We start from the raw sequence: 8,580 nt of genomic DNA on the forward strand, positions 1-8,580 counted from the left end.
AGAAAAGACTTCCTCAAAACTGTTGTCTCTTACCTTGATAAGTAGCCTTCCCAGAAACCCTTAACACTTCTACTTAGATCTTATTGTACAGAACTTAGTCACGTGGCCACACCTAGCTACAAGGGAGGCTGGGAAAGGCAATATTTTGGCTGAATTCATTGCTGCCTCAATATATTTGAGATTGTGTTACCAGTGAAGAAGGGGAGAGTGGATGTTGAAAGGTAGACATTGATCTCCGTCTGTCATAGCCTATGTCTTATTGGCAAGAATAGCCAAGCAACTACTACTGTGATATTGGATTAAAAACTTGGAGATGTTTTTGTATTATAGAGAACTTTTTATTATAAAGGAACTCCTAGTAAAGGAGTTCATGTTACAGTGATTTCATTTATTTATTTATTTATTTATTTATTTTTAATTAATTAATCAATTTTTTTGAGACAGAGTCTTACTGTGTCGCCCAGGCTGGAGTACAGTGGCGCGATCTCGGCTCCCTGCAACCTCCGCCTCCCAGGTTCAAGTGATTCTCCTGCCTTAGCCTCCCTAGTAGCTGGGATTATAGGTGTGCACCACCATGCCTGGCTAATTTTTGTATTTTTAGTAGAGTTGGGGTTTCGCCATGTTGGCCAGGCTGATGTTGAACTCCTGACATCAGGTGATCCACCCACCTCAGCCTCCCAAAGTGCTGGGATTACAGGCATGAGCCACTGTGCCCAGTCTGATTTCATTTAATTACCAAAATATTTCTGAGTACAGCCAAGCTTTGCCCACCCATTCTTGAAGTCTGGCTGGAATTCATTAGACTGAAGGCCTAGATGCTTTGGCTTAGATCTTATTTCTAAGTTATTCAGCATTTGAATTTCAATAGGAATGGATGTTGGGAAGTTCCCACCTCCCTAAGCATTTGAAGCACTAATTCATAACTTTTCTTCATAGATATATGGCAGTGTATGGGAGAAATTACATCGAGCCTTTGCCATTTGGAGTGGCTTTGGTATGACCCTGACTGGCGTTCACACATGTGGAGATTACATGTTTAGTGGCCACACAGTCGTCCTAACTATGCTGAATTTCTTTGTCACCGAATGTAAGTATCTTTTTAGTGCTTCTATGCGTATTAGGTAACTAGCTGCAGTGAAGGCTGTGGGAAGGGTGTCAGATCCTGTGAAGAATGGCAAAACAGCCTGACCTGAGAAACGTGACTGAGAAGCATTGGAAGGAATGTAGCTTTAAAATGATCTTTCTGTCCTTTTCCTAGATACACCAAGAAGCTGGAATTTCTTGCACACTTTATCCTGGGTTCTCAACCTCTTTGGAATCTTCTTCATCTTGGCTGCCCATGAACATTATTCTATTGATGTGTTTATTGCTTTTTATATAACAACAAGACTCTTTTTGTACTACCATACTCTGGCCAATACCAGAGCATATCAGCAGAGTAGGAGAGCAAGGATTTGGTTTCCCATGTTCTCTTTTTTTGAATGCAATGTTAATGGCACAGTACCTAATGAATATTGTTGGCCATTTTCAAAACCAGCAATAATGAAAAGACTAATTGGATGAATACTATCTTTCTAATGAATTTGTGATTAAATATATAATAGTTGTTGAAAATGAGTAACTTTGCGTTCTCCCCCTAGGTTGTTCTTAGATGCCTGGCTTATGTGTTGACAAAGTAAAGTTTTCTGTTCTGAGCAAAGTTATGATTATAAAAAGCAAGAAAGAACAATCAAGAGTCCTTATGTAGCTATTTGAACAGAAAGCTTAAGTAGATGTTTTCTGCCCCTTCTCTTTAGGAAGACTTAATGTTGTGATTGAAGTCAGGCTGTACCCTTACCTGTTGAGTATTTGCTTATTGAACTTTAAACAAGTCAACTTGAGCAGTTTGCTGGTTGAGGAATTTTCATTGATTTCCAGTAGGGCTCTAGTCAAGAAATAATATGTTTTGAAGCTCCTTATTACCTTTAGAAGAAGAAACCCTAACAAGTGACAGTACTTGTTCTTTGGACTAATCTTTGTTTCATTTTAAAAAATGCAACCCTGGGACATGATCTGTTTTACTGACAAAGAGTTTTTGCCTTCTGAACCATCTTTAAATATACTGAGCATACCAGGATGCCTGAAATAAGAAGAGAATGAAAGAGGCCATAGATGACGTGACAGAGTACTGGCTAGGATGCCATTGGTCTCCTCATTAATGCAAATGTAGGGCTGGCATATTTCACCAAAGATGCAACAAAAGATGCAGTGCCAGTGTGACCCTCAGTGAGTATTCATGAGGGAAAAATGGCTGCATCCATAAAAATAAATGGGCTTAATGTTAGTGGTATAGGTACCCAGAATAACTTCTTTGTGCTATAGTTGTTAGATGACAGTTCAATTTTATGCTTTTTTAATGGTGTTATTAAATGAGCCAAATAGGAGTGTTTTACCAGATGTTAGATAAAGTTCTTAATGCCGTTAAGTAGGGAGGTATGCATGCAAAGAATTGTTTTCTCCTGAAAAGAAACTTACAGCACGCAAAATATAACTTTTTGGTTTTTGAAATTTATCATTCTTGGCTGTTGGAAGTAAACAGTCTCAGACATACTTGGATATGAAAAAGTTTCGTTGTTTTTTACTTTTAAATATAATGGTGTATATACATTCTTTCTATTTAGTCTTAATTTGGCAGTCAGGAAGTGATATAACTTAGCTGCTATTTACAACACTAGAAATTTAGTACTTTAAGTAATTTCACATCTATGATAACATTTGTTACTTTATTTTTAATGATTTTTTTACAGTAGTTATGACAGTAGGATGGTTATGGAATTGGAATTTAAACTCCCAACTAATGAGCTTAAGCTGCTTGGAATATTAATTATGTAGTTTTTACATTCCATTTTAAAACAAAAACTTAGAAAAGGTGCTGGCATTCTGAGGCCTGCAATTAGGCCACATAGCAGAAGCTTGCTCCTTCCTTATCTGGGTGAAATATTTTATTTTTGCACTTTGAGTCATATTCCCACCCCTGTATAAGCTACATAGGAGCCTGAATGAATTGGGTAGGAAAGGAAATTATGCAAACAAGTCTCAGCTAGTGCTGAATGACCCCAATTTGGGTCTGCTGTGAACATCATTTTTGTATTTCTCACTTGAGAAATGCTGCAAGGCAATTCAACTTTTATGCTTTTAAATCTCACAACTCAGAATCTGATATCTTAAATCACTGATTCTGTTACATGCTAGGAACAAAATGCCAACATCTCATGTAAAGAAGTTGCATAATCATGAAAAATAAAGGATGTTTCCTATGCCAGTTAGAGTGGTTTGACCCTTCAGGTAAAAAGATATGTTACTGTTATTTTTCTACGTGACAGAACAGACTGAATTTAGCTAGGGAGGCAGTGATGTTGGCTTTTGGGAAAGGGTTCAAAAAACTGTATGGCAACATTAATGCTAAAATGTTAAGCCGAGTGCAGTGGTGCAAGGCTATAGTCCCAGGTTCTGAGGAGGCTGAGGCAGGAGGATTGCTTGAGGCCAGGAGTTAGAAACTAGAGTGTGTTATAACGCCTATGAATAACCACTGCATTCCAGCCCGGGCAAGGTAGCAAGACCCATTCTCTTAAAAACATGGCTGGGTGCAATGGCTCACGCCTGTAATCCCAGCACTTTGGGAGGCCAAGGCAGGCGGATGGCTTGAGGTCAGGAGTTCGAGATTAGCCTGGCCAATATGGTGAAACCTCATCTCTACTAAAACTACAAAAATTAGCTGGGCATGGTGGCACGCACTTGTAATCCCAGCTACTTGGGAGACTGAGGAACAAGAAACACTTGAACCCAGGAGGTGGAGTTTGCATTGAGCTGAGATCACTCCACTGCACTCCAGCCTAGGTGACAGAGTGAGACTCCATCTCAAAACGAAACAAAACAAAACAAAACAAATTAGAGTGGGTGCAGTGTCTAATGCCTGTAATCGCAGCACTTTGGGAGGCTAAGGCAGGAGGATCACTTGAGCTCAGGTAAAAGAGACCAGCCTGGGCAACAAAGTGAGACCTCATCCCCACAAAAAGTTGTTTAGAAAATTAGCTGGGCGTGGTGATGCATGCCTGTGGTCCCAGCTACATGGGAGGCTGAGGCAGAAGGATCACTTGAGCCCAAGGAGGTTGAGGCTACAGTGAGCTGTAATCATGCCACTGCACTCCAGCCTTGGGGACAGAGTGAGACCCTGCCTCAATCAATCAATCAATCAATAACAAAAACTTAAATAGCTATTAACCTCAGTCTTCTTTCCTTCATATAAATTCTATTCTAAGACCAAATAGAAAAATAAATGTAACTAACTTTGCAGAGCTATTGACATTGAGAGACCTAACAACAGACTGCAATGGGGATTGTAAAATAACTTTTCAGCCTTGCACTTGCTCATATATGTTTTGAGAAAAATGTAAGTTAGGTATAACTTATTGTTTTAACTATTATAAGGCAGTGTTTACATAAATTAATCATCTCTTTCTTGGAAAACATTGAGACAAATTTATTTTCAGTTTTACTTAAACATGAAACCTGTATTTTAGTTGCTTTTTGTTTTGTCCAGAAATTTCCAGATTTTGTCTTCATTTTTTTTCCTGGTTAAAATCTAAACCATAGTGAAGATAGTATTTATGTTTACATTTTATCTGTGAATGTGGCTAAGCAGAGAAGCTACATGGCTTTGGTCTACATATTTTTTGACCTTGTATTTGGTTCTGTAGTTGCAGACTTGTGAAGGCTTACATCATCATGGAGACTTTAGTAAGGAAGGAACCAAAAGGTTTTTGGTTTGGGGATGCAAACTGGAGGTTATGTTACAAGTCTTCAATGCATTTTCTGTGTTCCTGGCAGCAGTGTTGCCTTTTTTTTTCTTTTCCTTTTTTTTTTTTAAAGACCAGGTAGGGTAGTGTTATTGAAGGGTAATTGAAGAGTGGTAGAGAGTAAGAGGTTTTGAAGGAGGCAGGTTTGCTGTTATCACAAAATAATTTGGGGGAAACCTTTCGTGGCTGTGCTGCAAGAATTCTTTATGTGGCTATCCTCTCCATAGTTTTCTGACCAGAATTGCAAGGGCAAAAATAGAACTTCTAGCTCTATTTATTTGTATCCTTTGAAATCAGAACTTATCCTTAGAACCAGTCAGTTAAATAATGCGGACTATGCCTATAATCCCAGCACTTTAGGAGGCTGAGGCAGGCAGATCACGAGGTCAGGAGTTCGAGGCCAGCCTGGCCAATGTGGTGAAACTCCGTCTCTACTAAAAATACAAAAATTAGCCGGGCGTGGTGGTGCACGCCCATGCCTGTAGTCCCAGCTACTCGGGAGGCTGAGGCAGAAGAATCGCTTGAACCCAGGAGGCGGAGGTTGCAGTGAGCCGAGATACTGCCACTACACTTCAGTCTGGGTGACAGAGCGAGACTCCATCTCAAAAAAACAAAACAAAATAAAATAATAATGTGGGCTATTCAGAAGAAAAAGTCAGTGACAGAGAGACCAGAACCCATTGGATCAAGAGACCTGCAGGGATTATAACTCTTTACTCTGTGAGCAGCGGTGTTTCGTGCCCTGTCTCTGCCTGTGTGTTTTTACTAAGAATTCCAGAAATCCTGTAATTTGTAAATGGGAAACAGAGGAACCAGATTGTTTTATAGCTGATAAGAAACAGTCTGTTTTAGAAACATCTGTTTGGAAAGTATTACTCATGTATTCACAAAGTCATATTTATAACACTAGTCTTCTTTGACTGTATTCAACAAAAGGCAGTTTCACCATTAATTTCATAGTAAGCTTTTTTAAAGGATTCTAGATCTAAATTGCCTAAGAATGTTAACCACATTCTTGTTTTAAACTCTCTAATTTAATAAATGTAATTATTTTATAGTCTTTTATAGACTTACATTTTCTTCATACTAAAGGTAATGATAATATAGTCATTTGCCAGTACTTTAAGGTATTCAGGCATTTGAGACAAGAAAGCTGTCTTGTAGAATAGTCCAATTGCTTTCTTAAACAGTACTGGTTTCATTTAGACAGTTTCTAAGCCAGCAAAGGTGTCAATTTTAATGCCAACTTGACAGTTTAACAGTTAGTGTTTGTAAGCAGTTTAGCCTGAATTATCCCATACTGCTGTAGAGGAGAATTGTTAGTAACATCAAAGGTCAGAATGCTTCAGGTGACTAATAAGAATGGAAAGAGACTGAGTAGGTTTTTTGTTTCTTTTCCCTGTCTTTGAGTAACTTTGAATGACTAAAATTAGTATGAAACTAGGTTTTGGACCCCCTTCTCACCTCACCCGGATGTAATGCCACCAATTTCAAATAACTAAAATGTGACCAATTACTTTGCTTCAAGTTCTATACAAATATCTCTGAAATCTGTAAGCCATATTTCAGCTATTCTGGTTTTTATAATACATTCTACCCTAAATTAACCAAAGGACTTTTTATTCAGTGTATTCCATGTTTCAGCATAAGGAAAGTTTGTGCCTGATATGGCAGGAGAAAGAACACTATGGTAATTTCATTGTTACTTCAGGTCTCTTTCAATCTGAAGAACTGGGTTGTCTGGAGAATTGAACATAGCCAAGCAATATTATCAATTAGTAATGTCATCTTAAAAATGTTCACTTTTACTAAGTTTTATTCAGAGGATCTATGTATTATTAGAAAAATGAAGTATTTCTGACATGGAACAAAGAAAGTGGAAACTGGTACTTAATGGGGGAAGCAAAATTAGCTGGGACTAAAACGGACATGTTTTGTTTTGTGAATTCTACCTAAATGTCTCTCTATCCACAGAGAAACTAGTATTACTTGAAGATGTGAAAGTTCCTGTGGTAGCCATACCTTGAAGCACAGTGTTTGTACATAAGTAAATATCTTGATTCTAAATTAAATCCAGATTTAACTAATATATATTATTTTATATCTTTGTTGTATTAAAATGTTTAAAAACACTAAAAATAAAACATTTGAAAGTTGGATTACAGTTTCTTATTGAAATGTCTTTGCATTATTAATGGAGCTGGTCAGTTTTTTATATAATGAATTTTAGTTTTTGCAAATGATTGGCCAGGTGTGGTGGCTCACGCCTGTAATCCTAGCTCTTTGGGAGGCCAAGGCAGGCTGATCGCTTGAGCCTAGGAATTTGAGACCAGCCTGGGCAACATGGTGAAACCCCGTCTCTACAAAAAATACAAAAATTAGCCAAGTGTGGTGGTGCGTGTCTGTAGTCCCAGCTACTTGGGAGACTGAGGCAGGAGGATCGCTTGAGCCTGGGAAGTCGAGGCTGCAGTGAGCCGAGATGATGCCACTGCACTCCAGCCTGGGTGACAAAGTGAGACCCTGTCTCCAAAAAAACAAGCAAATGATTGAGCTCTGCAACTTTAAATCTGTGGAACTTAGTCCAGAACTGTGGAGTAGTTAGAATGCTAAGCATTGTCACAGGTACAGGACCGTATCAGCTTGATCCGCAACTGAACTTGTCTTCTTGATCACTGCTAATATGTAGCCTCTGTAGCGCTGGCCCAGCTAGTCTTTTTGAGAACTCTGGGAAAAAAATAGTCCAGAAGAGACCTCAAGGAGCTTGGTGGAGTAGAAAATGCACTGGGTTTAGGCTCTGATGACCTGGGTATGAGTTGTGTTTCTGACACTGATTAAGTTTTTCTTCAAACCTCCACTTAACCTTATTTAAGTGGAAAAAAGTGCCTACCACATAGGTTGTATTAAGGGCCAATTTATGAAAGTACTGTAGCCTTGCTCACGGAGATGTTAAGATGAGGGTGCTGAGTTAAGAGAGTGCCTCAGAGGAGCTCAGTTGCCACCTTCAGCTGGAACTTTGAAGATGCACAAATGATAGTTTTAAGGCTTCTGGTAGAGTAGCATGACATTTAAATGCCGTATATTCTCAGTTCACGGGGCTCCCATGAGAGCCAGAAATACAGAACCACCAAGACCTGCTCATATTCCAGCTTTAGGAGCCCTGGGTCACATTATGAAGTGAATGTCTGTACCTGATGGGTTTTTTTGTTTTTGTTTTGTTTTGAGACGGAGTTTTGCTTTTGTTGCCCAGGCTGGAGTGCAGTGGCATGATCTCGGTTCACCGCAGTCTCCACCTCCCAGGTTCAAGCGATTCTTCCGCCTCAGCCTCCCAAGTAGCTGGGATTACAGGCATGCGCCACCACACCCAGCTAATTTTGTATTTTTGGTAGAGATGGGGTTTCTCCACGTTGGTCAGGCGGGTCTCAAACTCCCAACCTCAGGTGATCTGCCTGCCTCAGCCTCCCAAAGTGTTAGGATTACAGGCATGAGCCACTGCGCCCAGCCTACAAACATATTTTTTTAATTTTAAAGGTTTACATTATTTTACTCCAATTGTAGCATATACATATATATGTACATATACATGTGGTTTCATACCTTGCTTATTTCACTTAACATGTTCCAGTGCCTTCCAGCCAAGGATGAAGGACACACCTTAGTTGAATAAGTTGGGTTTATTGTTTGTTATAATGGAGAATACACACCATGGGGAGTTGTGGGGCGTCTCAGTGGGAAGGTGTTGGAAAGG

At 39.3% G+C, this 8,580-nt stretch overlaps 1 protein-coding gene across 7 annotated transcripts in view; it reads left to right on the top strand.

The window, feature by feature from the left end:
• SAMD8 (sterile alpha motif domain containing 8) overlaps positions 1–6,994 on the top strand; it is an 82,531-nt gene extending 75,537 nt beyond the window's left edge. For 5 of the 7 annotated variants that reach the window (XM_011539312.4, XM_005269541.6, NM_001174156.2 and 2 more), the window contains exons 5-6: positions 937–1,087; positions 1,259–6,994. In XM_011539312.4, coding sequence (XP_011537614.1) covers positions 937–1,087; positions 1,259–1,563 — 456 coding nt within the window. In that variant the 3' untranslated portion in view covers positions 1,564–6,994. Of the gene's footprint in view, positions 1–936 lie in introns of all 7 variants that reach the window. The other 2 variants (NM_144660.3, XM_047424641.1) reach the window with 2 other exon arrangements.
• Positions 6,995–8,580: the final 1,586 nt, after the last annotated feature.

This window comes from Homo sapiens, chromosome 10, assembly GCF_000001405.40.
Source record: "Homo sapiens chromosome 10, GRCh38.p14 Primary Assembly".
NCBI classification, from domain to species: domain Eukaryota; kingdom Metazoa; phylum Chordata; class Mammalia; order Primates; family Hominidae; genus Homo; species Homo sapiens.